The sequence below is a fragment of the Homo sapiens genome, chromosome X, assembly GCF_000001405.40.
Source record: "Homo sapiens chromosome X, GRCh38.p14 Primary Assembly".
Taxonomy (NCBI): domain Eukaryota; kingdom Metazoa; phylum Chordata; class Mammalia; order Primates; family Hominidae; genus Homo; species Homo sapiens.
The window spans coordinates 69,362,938-69,381,770 of NC_000023.11; the positions used below are offsets into that span (position 1 = coordinate 69,362,938).

The 18,833-nt window shown below is 44.7% G+C and overlaps 1 annotated feature.

The window, feature by feature from the left end:
- Positions 14,918 to 15,440: an enhancer, noted in NCBI's record as "NANOG hESC enhancer chrX:68597698-68598220 (GRCh37/hg19 assembly coordinates)". NCBI's record gives its function as "activates a minimal SCP1, AML or CMV promoter by ChIP-STARR-seq in naive H9 embryonic stem cells {active_cell/tissue: H9 hESC(naive)}" and the evidence as "EXISTENCE:reporter gene assay evidence [ECO:0000049][PMID:30033119]".

Here is an 18,833-nt window from a genome sequence, read left to right on the forward strand (position 1 = left end):
ACCTCTTTCTGATTGGCAAGGCAGGAAGCTGGGGCCCAGACCATGCAGAAAGCCAAGCCAAAAGGGTGCTGGTGCTCCTCCGGGGCTGTAGGCCAGGAGCAGCAGTGGCAGACCATCTGGATGCAATCAAGCCTGCAATGACCTCATGGGGAGAAGGGGGGAGCCCCCAGAACTGAGAGCTTTGGGCCTCGCTCTCACTGATGAGGGAGGGAGAGGAGCTGTGTGGGGATGAGACACGGAGCATTTAGTGAAGTGAGAAGTATGAAAATGGATGAGTCAGGACAGAGGGGAGAAGCAAGCTGCCATCCTCGACTCACTTGGACTCAAAACTTTGAGAGAACCAGCCTGAGGAGAGCCAAAGCAGAAGCTGAAGAAGAGCTCCCATTCCCCAAGTCCATGGGCTCCAAGTGCAGCCTTGCTTGGAAAGGCAGGGACAGCAGCATGTGGCAAGGTAGGTTTCAGATGGGTTCCAGTCCCTGCATAGACTTAGAAGTTGGTAGGCAAGGTAGCTGGCAAGGACTTTCCAGTGTGAGAGGACTGGGTCCTTTCGGATGATCCCTTGGAGAGGTCTGTAGGGCAGAACAGGAGAAGTGGAGTCCACAGTGCAGTACAGGGGAACTGGCAATGGCCTGAAGCCCAGGTCCCAAGCAGAGCTAGTGGAGGAGCTGGAGCTTCACAGCTTGGAGCAGAGAAGGGAGGGGAACAGGATCGTTGTCCTCAAAGTTCAGAAAGGCTGTCATGAGCAGAGGGAGCAGACAGTTTCTGTGGGGCCCCAGGGGGCAGAGATGCCTGGGCAAAAGCCACAGGGAAACAGAGTTCTTCAGCTTAATCCAAAAAATAATTGTCTTAAGAACTGTCCAAGCATGAAATTGGAGAGGAAGGAGATAGTGAGTGCCCCATTACTGGAGATGTGTGAACAAGGGCTGGACAGCCACATTGTGGATATTCAAAGAGTAGAGGCGGATGGTCTCTTGGCATCCTCTGGCGACCCTGTCATGAGACTGCCTGGCTCCATGAATGAGGTTACTCACCTGTGTGAGATGCAACCCAAGGAAAGAGCACTCACTCCTTGGAGCTCTCCAAGGGATGGTGACTTGAGTCTGTACCTCCCAAGACACCTAGCTCGATGTGATAACATCATGTGAGCATTTGCTTATGTGGCTGTGCTGTTCTTTCATCATTGGATCCACAGGCCTTGGGCCTCTTACAATATCAGCAACATCAGCATCTCAACACACTGAGTAGAGTGGACATGTTTGATGATACATTTTTTTTCATACCGCATGGCTCCTAATAGCTTCCTATGGGGCTCAATCCAGAAAGCAGCGATTGGTTTCAACTTCATGGGCAATTGAAGGGATTCTCCGGGGTGATTTTGACTACCTGCAATTGAGTCTTATAGACTGACTTAAGATGCTAAGCTCATGTAAGGCGTGGCTTCACAAGATGCTTTATAACACTGCTAGGCACAAAGCAGTGTGCTGGGGAAGGTATGGTGTGAGGGCCCAGACACAAAGGATCTCTTCCTGGAGGCCTGATGCCTCCATCCTTCCCTTAACAAAGGACAATTACCTCCCCTCTTCCCCTGCTCCTCCGTTGGAGATCCTGTTGCTGCTATCTTCTAAAGAGATCCAGACTCAGACCATTTTTTTCCATCTCACCAGTTTCATTTTGGTCCAAGCCACCATCATCTCATTGGAGCAATCCCAAGAGCTTCCTCACTGCTTTCTCTGCATTCACTCCTGCCTTCCATGCTGTTTGTTCACCCCAAAGTGGCTAGATCATTTCTGTTAAGATGTGAGTCAGATCCTGTCACTCATCTGCTCAAAACCCTCCAGTGGCTCCATTCTTCTCAGAGCAAAAGCCAAATGACTTACAAGGCCCTACAAGACCTGGCCCTCATGCCGCTTCTCAGACTCATTTCCCTCCACTCCACCCATCACTAGCCATTCCTCAAACCCACCTCGATACCTTTGTACCGCTCTTCCTGCTACTGGAGACACTCTTTCTATAAAACTTGATATAACTCATACCTTCACTTCCTTCAGTCTCTAATCCAATGCCACTTCATTGGAAAGGCCTTCTCCCTGACCACATTATATAAAATAGTGACTCCACCAGCCTATCCTACCCAGCACTATCTACTCTCCTCACCTGGATTTCCTTTCTCCATCACTTCTCACCATTTGACGTATTATATATTTATGTATGTATTTTACCTTTATTTGCCTATTAGAATATAAGACAGGGTTTTCTGTTCTCTGCTGTATCCCCAGCATCTAGTGCCTGGAGTGTAGTATGTGCTCAATAAATATGGAATGAATAGACAATTTAGAACATACCCCTATGGGCCCTCACAACCAGGGCAGAGAGCCAATTGCCTCTGTCCTAACACTCCATGCTTCCTGTTCTTTAATGTCACTCATTCTGACCTCCTGGACACTGGGCTCAGCCTGACTCCACTCATGAAGGCTTCCTTCCTGCCTTAGCTGACACTTTAGCCTTGCCCTTCTGTTTTTCTAATGCCTGTTTCCCACCTGCCTGATCCTTTCTGCTAGCCACAGCTAATCCTCTGGCCTGGCATCCTTACATGTGAGATGCAGGACTGTGGCCAGGCACTTCCTGGCTCATCAGACTCCCAGGCCTGGAATGTGTCAGGCAGGCCTACGCTGCACACTGCCACCACCTATGCCACTCCAACCAAAAGTACATGCTAACTTGCTCATAAGCACCCCAAGATGTTGAGAGAGGAGGGTTGGGGGAGAATTATTTGGAATTTATGCTATCTGAGCCTCTTCAGAGAGAGGCAAGCCTAGGACACAGTACTCTGGAAGGAAGTAGTTCCTGCCTCAATGGACAGGTTCCATGTTTTGCTGAGTTGGAGGTGACCCTGTAGAGAAAGATCAGGGCAAAGACCTGGCTCTAGAGGTGCAGAGAAAGCCTTGAAGGAAGCAAACAACACAGCTTGTCAGTGAGCAGCCCAGTGTTGGGAGAGGGCCAGGTGGCTAAACACTGGGGCTCGGGAGCTCTGTTCCTGGGGTAGTGACTGGGCCAGATGCACCTGAGAGTAACTTGGTACAAAATTCAGGGGCCTAGACAGAGGTCACAGACTCTCTTGAGTAACCAGGATCACTAGCTCACACTGAGGGCAGAGAGGAGAACTGAGCAGATGTGTAACAAGAAGCAGAGAGAGCACCAACCACTGTACTAGACACTTTGGATGCATTTTTTCACAACAGCCTTATGAAATATGCATGATTATTCCCATTTTACAAATGAGCAAAGTGAAACTCAGATTTGAAATGACATGTCCAGTGTTACAGCTACAAAATGGCAGAGCCAGAAAAGAACTTCTGACTCTGATTAGGTCTTTCTACCAAATTTGCATTGAGTGTATCCTGTGCAGTCTGCACTTTGCACCTATTGTCCAATTCGCACATTTGGACAGTCCCCCAGGGTAGGTGGTGTTGTTCCTGTTTCATAACTTAGGAATCAGGCTCAGGACTGGTTAAGGGACTGCCCCAGCTAGTGAGAAGTGAGGCTTAGTTTTAAACCAACTTCTTTTTTTTTTTTTTTAGACAGTCTCACTCTGTCACCCAGTGGCACGATCTCAGCTCACTACAACCTCTGCCTCCCAGGTTCAAGCGATTCTCCTGCCTAAGCCTCCTGAGTAGCTGTGATTACAGGTGCGTGCCACCACACTTGGCTGATTTTTTGTATTTTTAGTAGAGACAGGGTTTCACCGTGTTAGCCAGGATGGTCTCGATCTCCTGACCTCGTGATCCGCCTGCCTCGGCCTCCCAAAGTGCTGGGATTACAGGCGTGAGCCACCATGCCCGACTTAAACCAACTTCTATTACATTCCAAGGTCCATAACCTTTTTACTATACTCCCCAGTAAACATTTTGTTGAAAGAAAAAAAAAAAACAATGAATGAATGAACAAAGACAGCCAATTCTTGGGGATTTTGGAAAGAACACTTGCCTGAGAACAGGTTGGTCTCAAGTGGGGGCTAGAAGTGAAGGGGGTCTCAAGAGCCATCTAGATTGGAAGGGAGGGAGGATTTTAGATGTGTCCAGAGGGATTGAATGAGACTGGACAGTTTTCCCCAGGCCCTGTGGCACTGTCCTGGGTAGTGAGGCCAAGGTAAAGGTTGGGAGCAGGCCGGCTTCAGAGATGTGGAATCTGGGCATTCACACAGGGTCTGGTGCTCCGAAAGGTCCCACACTTGGCTTAATGCTCTGGAGTTGCTGTCTTGAAATTCTTAATGATTTTTGAACAGGAGCCTTGCATTTTTTTTTTTTTTCAGGCAGAGTTTCACTCTTGTTGCCCAAGCTGCAGTGCAATGACGCGATCTTGGCTCACTGCAACCTCCGCCTCCTGGGTTCAAGCGATTCTCTGGCCTCAGCCTCCCGAGTAGCTGGGGTTACAGGTGCGCCACATGCCCAGCTAATTTTTTGTATTTTTAGTAGAAATCGGGTTTCACCATGTTAGGCAGGTTGGTCTTGAATCCTGACCTCAGGTGATCTGCCCGCCTCGGCCTCCCAAAGTGCCAGGTTTACAGGTGTGAGCCACCACCCCGGGCTGTGAGCCTTGCATTTTAACTTTGCACTAGCCCCTGCAAATTACATAGCCAGTTTTACTGGGAATTCCAAGTCTTGGAGGAACAATGTCCTTCCTCCACGCCTCCTTGTGTCTGCTCTTTCCTCACAAATTTCACCCTGTACGTGATTCCTGAGTATATTCCCTAAAGCACAGCCTTGCATTGTCATTGCTCTGCTTAAGAACCTCCCATGTCTCCCTATTGCTCATTGCTTCACTCCAAACAGCTCAGCTTGTACAGCCCTCAAAGCCCCCCCTTCTGTCTGTTTTCTCAGGACCCTTTCACATAGACCTTCTCCTACTGCCCCCAACATGCCCACAGGCCTGGGTCTTCCCCGTGGGCCCTGGTGTACTGTAAACCTTCAATGCCTGATGGCTGGAGGAAGGTGCCCAGGCATTTATATGAGGAATTCTTCCTTTCTACCAGCACATCAGGTCAAAAAGGGCAGGGGTTTTTTTGTTTGCTTGGCGTGTGTGTGTGTGTGTGTGTCTGTGTGTGTGTGTCCTTTTCACTGATGGGTCCACAGCACCCAGGACAGGACCCAGCACATAGTAGATAGTAAATAAGTAACCACTGAATGAATGAATAAATGAGTGAATTCAAGCTTCTCTGTAATCTGGCTTCAACACACTCCAAGCCTGACCCCTATGTGCTTCAGCCCAATGGAACAAGTCCTTGTTCCCCATGTACATCCTTTAATGTTCCCACAACCTAGATGCCCCTACTTCCAACAATCACATCTTCATATCTGAGCCATTTTCAAGACTCCACCCAAATGCCATTTATTCCATGAACACTTCCCTAAACACTACAGCTAGCCATGACCTCTTCTTCTGGGTTCTCTGTAGTGATTGATACCTCTCTTAAAGCCTCTCTCCATTTTTTGGATGTAGCAGAAGGAGTCAAATAGACTTGGGCTCAAATCTTTTATCTGCTACTTACTAGCTGCATGATCTTTGACCTGTCACTCACCTCCCAAGCCTCAGTTTCTTCAACTGTAAATTAGACTTACAATAGCACTTACCTCATTGAGTGTATGTGAATTAAATGAAACAACTTACAACGATGAAATGAAAACAGCTTAGTGCTAAGTGCATATAATGATAATATTATTATCATCAACAACAACAATAATAATAGCAAAATGCTATTTATGTATCTGCACAATAATAGTACCTTCCTATGGGGAAGGTGCTATTGTTATTAATTCTCTCATTTTGCAGGTGGAGAAACAGACCCAGAGGTTTTGTAACCTGTTCAAGGTCACACTACTAGCAAACGGTGAAGCTAGGATTGACAAACCAGGCCGTCTGCTCTGCCCAGTTTCAGAGTTCCAGGCCTCTGTCTGCCTCCAGGACCCAGGAGAGCAGGTCTTGCTTCCTCAGGGAAGCACCCCAGGCAGCAGCTATGGCAGCTTCATAGCTCAGCCCAGCCCAGCCTGACCAAGAGGGACTGCATTTGTTCCAAATTACAGATGGTTTGTTTGAAACACAAATCATTTGTAATCAGAGGGGCAAGGTAGAAATAGATGCTTCTCTTTCTCTAAATGAAGCCCTCAGTCAGGCTTGCCCAAAGGGTATTCTTTTTCTTTTACTTGGCCCTGAGGAGGGCATGGTTATAGTGTGCTCTCAATGAGGTCTAAATAAAAGCAAACAAGGGCTAATTCAAAACTGGCTGTCTTGCCACCCACACCCCCCAGTTCCTGCCTCTCTGCCTTCTGTTCTGCCATTCCGGCCTTGGATTGGTGATGGCGCAGTGATTCCCCAGGGGGAATCTTAAGGGGTGCCGTGAAAATCTCCTCTAATTCTCTAAACAAAATGAATTTGAACCTGATTTTAACTGAAAAACTAATGGAAACCATGTATCAGCCTTGACTGAGAAGGTCTTGGGGAGGGGTGCTCAGAAAGTCCTCAGAGAACCAGGAATCCTGGGACTGTGCACACAGGTGGCATGGAGAATTAGGGCAAATTTCTGGATTATGAACTCCCAAACTACCTTGGCCTCAGCTGGGCTGGAGACCGTAGTCACCAAGTCCCCCTCTACAGGGATTACTTCCCCAACTTCTGTCTCTGCCTCTGCCCCCAACACCAGATCTTGAGGTCACTCTCACGGATGTCATCAGGGGGAGAGCCTTCTTTCTGTGAGTGAGTAGAAGGTAAGGGAGACCCAGAATCCAGTTGCATTTAGCTCAGCACTGTCCCCCCAACCCCCCACCTCAGAATTCCCATCTCTGTATTGTTCCAGTTTGGGGTTGCCTACAGGAGAAATTCACACAAGATCTGGAAGGCGGAAACACAGCAGCAGCCATTGCTCTGCTGGTTGACTTAGAGCAAGCTTCTCCAACCCGTGGCCTGTGGGCCACATGCAGCCCAGGACAGCTTTGAATGTGGCCCAACACAAATTTGTAAACTTTCTTAAAACATTATGAGATTCTTTTGAGATTTTTTTTTTTTTTAGCTCATTAGCTATCATTAGTGTTAGTGTATTTTATGTGTGGCCCAAGACAATTCTTCTTCCAATGTGGTCCAGGGAAGCCAAAAGATTGGGCACCCCTGAAGAGGTACTGTGGAAGCTCGCCGGCTGGCTTCTCTGTCTGTCATGGGGCAGTGGTCAGTCCTATGTCTTTCTAGCTCTCCCACATCTTCTTAGGCTTCTGCAAGTCCCTGGCCCCGAGCATGTGCAGCTCGGTGGTAGAGGATGCCAGCTTCTGCAGGTCCCCCACACAATCCAGGCTGGAGGCGTTGAGAGACAGGTGTGGGTTCCTGTTTGTCCTCATTCTCTCCCATTTCCTGTCCAGCTTTTCCTTCTGACTGCTAGCTTTGCTCTCCTTTAGCCACTTCAGTCCCACCACTAGATGTAGAGGCCACACCCTTCCGTAGGTTTCTTTATCAGCTCCCAATATGGTGAAAATTATAATTCCCATAATAAATTTCTTTTTTTTTTTTTTTTTGAGACGGAGTCTCGCTCTGTCGCCCAGGCTGGAGTGCAGTGGCGCGATCTCGGCTCACTGCAAGCTCCGCCTCCCGGGTTCACGCCATTCTCCTGCCTCAGCCTCCCGAGTAGCTGGGACTACAGGCGCCCGCCACCACGCCCGGCTAATTTTTTGTATTTTTAGTAGAGGCGGGGTTTCATTGTGTTAGCCAGGATGGTCTCGATCTCCTGACCTCATGATCCGCCCGCCTCTGCCTCCCAAAGTGCTGGGATTACAGGCGTGAGCCACCGCGCCCGGCCTAAATTTCTTATTCTATATCACTCACAGTGGCTCTGCTTCTCTGATCACACTCTAACAGATACAGTGTCCAGTAAATGCCATTTAATCAGTATGACTACAGTAGGGGTTTTACAGACTGGGACGAATCTTTGTCATCTGTGTATGTACCAAGGGGCTGGCAGAGAATCTTTGAGTTGCTTCGATGGTGCTTGCTGAATGGAAGGGAACTGATTCAAGGCTCTGGACAATCAGTCAGTAATTGCTGTGACCCATTGTGAGCTAAGTCCTGGATACGCAAATGTAATTGGATGCAATTAATACTCTGCAATCCATTTGGATGTAGAACACTCAGAAATAAACAACAACTGATGGCCAATGATAATAAGAATATTTAGTACTTATTGAGTACATTGTATGTGTTACTCCATTTAATCCTCACACTAGCTTCTGAGGTAGGTGGGAAATGTGATCCTTGGGGAAATTAAATAGCTTGCCCAAGTTCACAAAGAATGGAACTGCAATGGAAAGGATTATGCTCCAGGGCCTGCATAGGGCTGTAACTGCTGTGCCTGGCAGGGGCTTTCCTAGTAAGGGTGCCCTTGAAGGCACTGAGAGCACTGAAGAGTCATGGGCAAACTCTACCCCACTGTTGCCAAGTATTGTCAGAGCTCAGAGGCGGGAGGATAGAGCAGTGAGCAGGGGCCAAAGGCCAAGGGAAGCTTCCTGGTGGGATCATGGGGCCTGAGCTCAGCCTTGAAAACTAAAGAAGACTGAGCCTGAGCTTAGCCTTGAAAACTAAAGAGACTGAGCCAATTCTCCAGGCTAGAAACCTGGGCCTTATCCTTGATGACCCCTCTTTTATCCTCTCTGCCCCATCTGTCATCTAGTTCTCTAGATGCTTCATTGGAAATGTCTTCAACCATCCCCCTTTCTAGCTTCCACTACTCCTGGACCTGTGGGACCTCAGACCTTCCTCATCTCTGGCCTGGTCCTTTGGTCTAGCCTCTTCCTCCCTGGCCTCCTAGCTTCCAGTCATACCTGTTCAAATTCACACTGGCTTCCAAAGCTATCTTTTTCAAACTCAGCTCTGATCATGCCATACCCGCACTTCTATCAGGGTCCCACAGGATAAAATAATGACATTAAGATTGAACGATAATGAAGTTACTGATATTCAACCATTTTTGACCTACAAAAGTGGCAATTTCCTACAGTTTTTCTAATATTAGTAGTAGTAATAATAATCAGTTTATCAAGCCCTTATACTGTGTTAAGGCTGGACACATTGCCACCAAACACACTCCCCACAATTTTCCCACTCTTTTACCCCTGTTGTCTGCCTGCCTCTTTTGAGCTTTTTTCTGCCTTACTTGGTCTGGTTCAGTGTGTTTTCCTCTGTACCTTGGTCTCACTCCCTTTACTGCCTACTCTGTCTGTCTCTCTTCTGTTTATTTCTCTTTGTCACTTTGTCTCTCTCTCTCTCTCTGATTCTCTTTCTATCTCTGACTCTCTTTCTAGCTATCTGGCTTATAATGTCTGTTTTATTATTTTTCTCCTCCCCTTCACTGTCATTCTCACCTTCTCTGTGTGTATATTTTCCCCTTCCTCTGTCTCTATCTGTGTTCATTTACCCCACTCTTTCTCATCATGAGTGAGTGTGTGTGTGTGTGTGTGTATGTGTGTCTAGACATGTTTCTTGACCTCCCAGGACTCTGGTGTCTATGAGGCCCAGCTGAGATTGAGGTCCAGAGCTCCCCTTCTATGGAGCTGGAAAGACAGAACAGCCAGAAGCAAGCAGCTGGCTTGGGGGCTGTGTTTGTCCTTGAGTTCATGGCACCCCCACAAAGGCAGCTTCAGGAACTTGTGGCCTGCCCTAGGGCTGCAGCCTCATCCTGCCTGCAGCCAACAAGGCAATAGGTACACATGGCAATGGCCCAGATGCAAAACCCAGCTGTGCAAATTAGCCTAAGGCCTGCAAGAAATTAGACTGGATCTAAAAGAGATCAGGCTGTGGAAGAAGAAAAATGTTAGTTAAAAGAGAAAATTCCTGCTCCCACCTCTAGGTCATAGATCACAGAAGAGAATCCTCGAATCAGGAGGGACCTCAAGGGGCCATCTGGCTTGGCTGCATCTTAGAACAGGTCAGGCCCCAACCAGTCAAGAGAATGGCTGTCTTTCCATCTTTCAACAACACAGACCAGAGATTTTTCAGTGTCTACCAACAGTACTTTGTTCTTGGAATGAACCCCTGCATTGTGAAAACATTTGACAGAGAGCCCAGACCACTAGAGTCACTCATATTGGGACCCAGATATGTACTCTAACCTCAAATCTGTCTCCCACCCCACATTCTTTCACATCTCAGCACCCACCACCACCATTCACCAAAATCATCAAACCAAAGCCTGGGAATCTACCTTTCTTTCTTTTACCAGCCTGTCCAATCTATCAACAATCTTGGCAGCTCCAACTCCTAACTGCATTCCCAATCTGACTCCTCACATCACAACCAAACTTACTGCCATGGTTCAAGCCACCATCATGTCCACCTAGAAGCCTATGCACCTCCTTCCAGGTCTCCTAGACTCCATTATTGCCTTCTCCACTCCATTCTCCCCAGCATATGGGAAGATTTTTTTTAAAAGCTAAATCATCAGATCATGTCATTCCTCTGCTCAAAACTCTCCTCTGGGTTCTCATCACACCAAACCCCAAGTCTTCACTGTGACACATGAAACCCTGCATCATCTAACTGCATCTCCCTCTCCTCCTCTCCCACTCCACTCTGGCTACAATGCCCCCTTGCTGCTCCTTGAATATACCAAACTCATTCCCTCCTTAGGGACTGTGCCTTAACTCTCTGTTCTTTTTATTATGTTCTTCCCCCAGATCTTCATGTGTGTGTTCCTTCACTTCATTTCAAGCCCCACTCAAAGGTCACCTCCTCCAAGAGGCCCATTCTGACCGTCCTGGCTAAAATAGCCCTTGCCTCACATCCCCTCACAAAGTCTCCACCCCACAGCTCTCTATCTATTTTATAACCTTCCTTTATTTTTCTTCAAGGCATTTTGAACTGCGTGGCATTATATTCTATATTTATTTGATGATTGGCTGCCTCCATCACTGTTTCCCCAGTGCCTAGAATTGTGTCTAGCACTTGGTAGATAGCGAGTGGTGGTTGAATGGATGAATGAAACCCTTTTGCTTATAGACTATGTGACTTTGGTCAAGTTACTTAACTCTTCTGACTTTTAGTTTATTCATCTCTAAGATAGAAATAATGACACCTACCTTGTGAGCTGTTGTGCGGAGTAAACGAGATAATGGATGTAATGAATAGAGAGTCTGGCACTAGAAATTACTAATTATTAAAATAGCCAGTGTAGTTTCCACTGAATTCTTCAGGTTCTGTCCTCAGTGGAAGCAGAGAGCAGCTACTCACCCCTTTCCAGGTTGAATAAGCCCAATCCTATTCATTTTTGTGATGTTAGACATGGCAGTACAGGATGCAGGAGCCCCAAGCTGACAGCTTCTCAGAATCCACCTAGGGCAGGAATGAGCCACAGAGACTTTAAGTCAACTCCCTTAAATATGCTAATAGAGCTAAAGAAAACCATGGATAAGGAGCTAAAGGAAATTTGGGAAACAATCTATGAATAAAATAAAAATATCAATAAAATGGCAGAAATTATAAAAAGCAGCTAACTAGAAATTCTGGGACTGAAAATTATAAAAACTAAAGTTTTTTCTGAGCCACAGATGTCCTGTTTCCTCTATGAGGGACTATAGGCCAGGTGGCCAGGGTCTGTGATTTTGAGGTGCAAATCCCATGAGGTTCCAAGAAAAGGAATTTTATTACCATTGAGAGCACAGGATTTAGAGTTAGACAGACCTGGGGTCCAATCCCAGCTCTACTGTGTAACCTTGGGCAGTGGCTTACTCTCCCTGGCCTTAGTAATGGCAATCTTAGTAGTCTGTCAGGAGGAAGAAATGAGACAGCTCATGCAAAGCACTTAGGCCTGTATCTGGCATGTGGTCAGCACTCCCTAAGTGGCAGCTATTATTACAAGTATTATCGTGATCTCATCCATCCCTGTCTCTAGGCAGCTCTACACTCCAACCATATCTCAGAGGTCTGGCTCAAACTCTTTAAAACATCCCACCCTCCTGCCAGGAAAACCACCCCAGCTTCAAACTGGCTATAGCACATGGAGATTTTGCCCTGCATGGAGAAAAATGGCACCAGCTCTCCCTATGGCCATGGAGATCGAAGCTGGAGACATGGCCTCTGCTGTTTGGTGCCTATGGGCAAGAAGAAAAAACCCAAGTGACATCAGCAAAATGGCAGACCAGGCAGCTCCAAATGCCCATCCTTCCACAGAAACATATAAAAACTTGCAGAAAATGTCAGTATCAACTTTGTCAGAACTCCGAAAAACAGGCAAATGCTTATAGCAACCACAGAAACATTGAATTTTAAAAAGTCCACTTCAAAATGCTCCTGACATTCAAGAAAATCTCTGTCAAAACACTAGCTGAACATAAGATAAAGGAACAAAGATTTCAGTGACCACACAAGGCAAAAAAAAAAAAAAAAAAAAACCCACAGTCTTTGCAAAAATAGTTTGGAAAAGTCACTAAACAAATGGATGACTACAACCTTCAACAACCAAGAACAGCAAACCCCAGGGAAGGGGAAGAAAATGATTTCCAGAGTTACAACATTATAATATTCGAATGTCTAGCTTTCAACAAAAATCACAAAGCATACAAAGCTTATTCAAAGGGAAAAAAATAAGAACGCTCAGATGTTGGACTTACTATTGAAGGCTTTAATCAACTCTCTTAAATATGCTCAAAGACCTAAAGGAAACCATGGACAAAGAACAAAAGGAAATCAGGAAAATGATGTATGAACAAAATAAGGCTATCAATAAGGAGATAGAAATTATAAAAAGGAGCCAAGTAGAAATTCAACACCTGAAAAGTACAATAACTTAAATATAAAAATCATTAAGAAGTACCAACAACAGATTTAAGCAGGTAGAAATAAGGATTAGTGAACTTTAAGACAGAACAGTTGAAGTTATCCAGTGTGAGGACCAGAAAGAAAAAAAATAAATAAAGAAGGGAGAAAAGTGAACAGAGCCTAAGAGACCTATAGAGCACCATCAAGCAGACCAACATACACATTATGCAAGTCTCAGAAGGAGAAGACAGAAAAAGAGAAAGAAATAATATTGAAAGAAATAATTGCTGGAAAGGTCCCCAAACTTGATGAAAAACCCAAGTCTATAATCCAAGAAGCTCAACTAACTCCAAACTGTTCAAAGGCAAAGAGAGAATCTTGAAAGCAGCAAGAGAGAAGCAACTTATAAAGTAGAAGTTTTCCTCAGTAAGATTATCAGCTGATTTCTCACCAGAAGCCATGCAGATTAGAAGGCAACAGGGTGGCATATTTAAAGAGAATACTATGAACAACTGTACGCCAACAAATTAGATAAGCTCAATGAAATGAACATATTTCTAGAAACACACAAATTATCAAAACTCACTGAAGAAGAAAGAAAATCTTAACAGACCTAAAACCAAAAAAGAATCAGAAATTAAAAGAAAAAAAACAACTCCCAATAAAGTACAGGAACAGATTGTTTCTTTACTGGTAAATCCTACCAAACATTTAAAGAAAATTTAACATCAACTCTTCTAAGACTTTTCCAGAAAATTGAAGAGGAAGGAATGCAACCCAACTCATTCTTTGAGTATCACTATCTGATACTAAAGCCATATAAAGACATCACATTAAAAGAAAATTGAAGGTTAGTATTTTTATGAATATATATATATATATATATATATATACACAAAAATACAAAATACTAGCAAATCAAATCCAAGAATATATCACAAGAATTATAGACATAATCAAGAGGGATTTATCAGAGGAATGCAAGGTTGGTTCAACATAAGAAAATCAATGTAACACACCACATTAATAGAATGAAGTATAAAAATAGTCTCAATTGATGCAGAAAAGGCATTTGACAAAACTGAATATTCTTTCCTGATAAAAACAGTCAGAAAACTAGGAAGAGGAGGGAAATGCCTCGACATGATAAAAGTCGTATATGAAAAAGCCACAACTAACATCAGACTCAATGGTGAAATACTGAAAGCTTTCCCCCTAAGATCAGGAGCAAGACCAGGATACCTGCTTTCTCCACTGCTGTTCTACATTGTAACAGAAATTTTAGTCAGAGCAATTAGGCAAGAAGAAAATAAAATGCATTGAAGTTGGAAAGAAAGAAGTAAAAATATCTTTATTCATAGGTGACATGAGCCTATATATAGAGAATGCCAAATAATCCACAAAAAAACTACTAAAGCCAGTAAACAAATTCGGCAAACAAAGTGTACAAGTTCAACATGCAAAAATCAGTCGTATTTCTATAAACTAGCAATGAACAACGTGAAAAGGACAAAATACCTAGAAATAAATTTAACCAAGAAGGTGAAATACTTGTACACTGAAAATTACAAAACATTACTGAAAGACGTTAAAGAAGACCTAAATAAATGGGAAAACATCTATGTTCATGAATTGGAAGACAATATTGTTGAGATGTCAACACTATCTGTTTTAGTTTTTTCAGGCTGCTACAACAAAATACCACAGACTGGGTAATTTTTAAACAACAGAAATTTATTTCTTACAGTTCTTCTGGAGTCTGGGAAGTCCAAGATCAAGACATTAGTTGGTTTGAGGGCTGCTCTCTGCTTCCAAGATGGCACCTTGTTGCTGCATCCTCCAGAGGGGAAGGACACTATGTCTTCACATGATATTAGGAACAGAAGGGTGAGCTCACCCCCTCAAGCCTTTTTAAAGGTTTGAGGCACTAATTCTTATAAGTGCCTAAGACACTAATCTCATCCATGAGGGTGGATCCTTCATGGCCTAATCATCTCCTAAATGCCCTACCTCTTAATATTGTTGCATTGGGGATTAAGTTTCAGCATAGAATTTGAAGTGGACACAAACATTCAAACCATAGAACTACCCAAAGCAATCTACAGATTCAATGTGATCTTTATCAAATTCCAGTGGCTTTTTTGCACAAAATGGAAAAGCTTATTTTCAAATTCACAGGAATTGCAATGGACCCTGAATAGCCAAAAAAAGATTCTTGAAAAAGAATAAAGTTGGAGGATTAATGCTTTCCAATGTCAAACTTACTACAAAGCTATAATAATCTTTAGACTGGGGAGGCTGCAGCTCAGGCTGAACAAGGACTCTAAGCTCTCAATTCCCACATCCCACCCAGGATGATTCTCTTCCTCACAGGGGCCTGCCAGTGCCTCTTAATTTTCTTTATTCTCCTCTGAGCTGACCCAGCAGCAGCCTGGCCTCCAGCTGGGGATATCTACTGCTACACTTTCATGAGGAAAGAATGCGATGGCTACAAAGAGACTCAGAGAAGCAGGCTAGAGTAAGGGCTTGGCCAGGTGTTGGAGAAGGACAGGGGTCCCTACTCTGTAAGTCCTCCCACTCCTGTACCCCAAAGACTACAGTCATAGACTAAGAGAATGCCACAGCCAGAAGAGCCCTTAGAAACCAGAGTCCACCCAATCCCACTTTATAGATGAGAGATTGATGCCCGGAGATGGGAAAGGAGTGACCCAAAATTACACAACAGTTGAACTAAGTGAATCATAATACTACTGGGCTGGAAAACACTTTTAAATGTACCCTAGCCTTCCCATCAAACCCCTAATCTAATGAAGATTTGCTCTTAACAGCATCTCCAATGACAAGTGATTGTCAGGCTATGACTTAAACACCTTCAAAAACGGGGTGCTCACTCCCTTCCAAGGCAGATTTATATTTCTGGCTTTCTAAGCATAAGCAGGCTGGTTGAGAAGGAGTAGCCCCATCCTATCCAGCAAATCCTGAATGAACATAAGGCCCATCTCATGGTATCCCTACAGGGAGAAGTCTTGCCTCCCACCAGCCCTCACTCTTCTCTTCTCTCTCTGTCTTCTATGCAGCTCTTCATTTTGCCTGTGGCTGGGGTTTTGTTACAGTAAAGAAGCAAAGGGTTTGCTTTTCTAGGAACTGGCTCTATATACCTTCTGAGAATCACTAACCTCTAAATGCAGCCGAATGATTTTCCTCCCAAATCCCTCTTTGGGCAGAAACCAGAAGTCGAAAACTTTCAGGGTCCTTTGGAGTATCTGAAGGGCCTGCATCCAGGGTGGCCTGAAGTCAGCCTGAACTCACAGCCCCACATCCTGGCTGGTGGAAATGGGTGTTCCAGAGCCCCTGGAGCTCTGGAAATTGTCAGCACCTCCAGAGCTCACCTTTGCTTGGGGAAGGGCCCCTCTCTACTCTCTTCTTGCCCCCTCTCTGGCAACCTAATGCCCCACTTTCCCTGCTCCCCTACTTCTCCCCTACCAATACTTCAATAACAAGGCCCATTGGCTATTGTAGTCTAAACCCTGCCACCATTTTACAGGTGGGAAAATTGAGCTGCTGCAGATGCATGCATTTCAAGCTTCCCAGGAACCTGCAGGAATGCCACATCCTCGCTCCCATCCTCTCCCAAGTTCTTGGCCCAATCTACTTGCACACTCTGGGCAGACCTGACTCTGACATGCCAGGGTTAGAAAAGGCCTGGAGGAAGCCGAAAGCTTTTGACCTAAGGAAGACCCTGCTGATGGCGGACCTAGTGATTATCATGATCATTATCATGCCCAGGCATATTTGTTACCTACGCATGTTTTCCCCATAGCTGCATGTGCCCACTTCCACCCACCTGCCTGACTACCATGAGGATGACACTGGTGCCAGGGGGCACACTGGGATTCACTCCAGCTCAGCCCAGCCTGCCAAGGCCACCATTGCTTCTGGAGCACCCTACTGATGTCAAGTCTGCTTCTGTGGCTGCTGGGGATTTGGAGAGGGACAGCTGGCCTTTGCCCTCAGCCTGCTCTTCTTGCCCTGTTCTGCTCTCTCTCCTCTATATTCCTTCTTTGCTCATGGAACTTGGTTATAAATCCTAAACACCCAAACACCCATAAATTCTCAATTCATTCTGCAGATATTTCCTGTGTTGGGGTTTTCAGCAGCATCTGCTGGTTTGAAGTTCCCTCTTTATTTGTCCTGGGGGCACCATTACTCTCAACTTTAGCAGTTTTCCTGCTCTGTAGTTCTTGCCAGACTCCATCGGAGGAAGAGAAAATTGGTGAAAGAATAATTATTATTATTGTTATAAATATATATTTCATTTTGGTTTCTTTTTTTATCCCTCTAGGCTCTGATGAGTATCCCAGGCAGGGGCTGGCAAGAGGATGGCTTCTTTATGGACCTCAGGGCAGTGGGCTTGTCCTGTTGGATCCTGGCACTTTGCCTTCCAGGTAAAGACATCTGCCAAAAGGCCATTCCTTGCTATTCTGCCCAACGGTACCCAGTTCTCCAGCAACTTTCTTCCCACCAAATATCCTGGCTCAAGTTCCCAAGTCTCCAGGAAACTTCCTTAAGCAAGTAGTAAAGCACCTACTGCATATGAGGCACTATCCAATACTTGGGCTTGATTATTTCTCACCATATCTTTATAAGGCAGGGCTACTTAGTTACATTGTGCAGAGGAGGAGACCGAGGTTCAGAGAGGAGAAGTTATTGGTCCAAGGTGATCCAACTAGCAATTGAAAGAGCTGGGATTTCAATTCAGATCTGTCTGGCCCCAAAGCTGATACTCATTCCACTTGACTATACACTCTCCTCCGAATTCCTGAAGAACTTCTTTTATGAGCTGCAGTATCTCACACCTGGAACGAAGTTGCTTTGGCTTGCTCTACTTGTTTCTGGAGTCCACCTGACTACAGTATGTAGATTCTCAGAATTTTAGAAACTTATGGATCCATTCGTTTAAGGACTTAATACTATAGAAGGGAAAACTGAGGCCCAGAGAGGGCATGTAGGTGGCACATAATACATTCATTGTTTTCTTCATGAGATGTAAGCCCCTTGAAGACAGGAACCATGCCTCCCCCTACATTTCTTATACATATCCCCAACACACACAGACACACAGATGCACACCCCACTTGATGCAGTATTTAGCACAAATAAAAACTATGACTTGTTAAGTGACAGGGACTGCTGGGTGCCAGTTATCTTACTTGACTTTCACAGCAACCCTATGTGGTTCAATTTCTAGATAAGATTGAGGATCAGAGAGGGAAAGTGGTGTGTCCAAGGTCACACAGTAAGGTATTGGCTGAGGCAGGATTCGAATTTCAGGTCTGACAGACCCTTTCTGTCATTCTGCATGATCACTTTAACAACAGCATAACAACAGCTAATGTTTATTGAATGAGTACTATACGTGAAGGACTAGCTAAGTGAGTAATCTAATACAAGTAATTAATTCAATCTTTACAATAACCCTATGAAATTTCCTCACTCTACAGATGATAAAACGGTTGCTTAGGAAAGCTGAGAAACTTGCCCAAAGCCAAAAAAACTAGTGAGTGGCTGAGCCAGGTTGATTTGATCCAAGGTTGATCTTACCCACACTATAAAAGGTCCTCTTTATCTGCAGATAATTGATATTGGAGGGAAAATTCCACTGAAAGAGAATCGTTTAAATTGTCATAGTAAAAAAAGAATAGGTTTACTTAGATTTCTCATTAAAAAATGAAACCAAAAAGTATGATAAGCAATTTCTCTTATATTTTAAAAAATAGGGCTGAAATTATAGTTCTGTTCTAGTTCTTAGGGCAGGCAAAAACAACGACTCAAACATTAGTTGCTTTGTGGTGTGATTTTTCTGACAAAACTGTAGGACATCATGGCATAACATCTTTTACTTTGCTTTTCATAGCATGATCATAAAGAAGGTCATTTTATTAAAAGTATTCAAGGACTTTGGTTTTCCTAAGGATATCTCTCAATAATTTGTGAGTCAACTCATTTTTGAAGCTTTTATTTTGTTCTCATCCTTGTTGACTTGCTCGTCA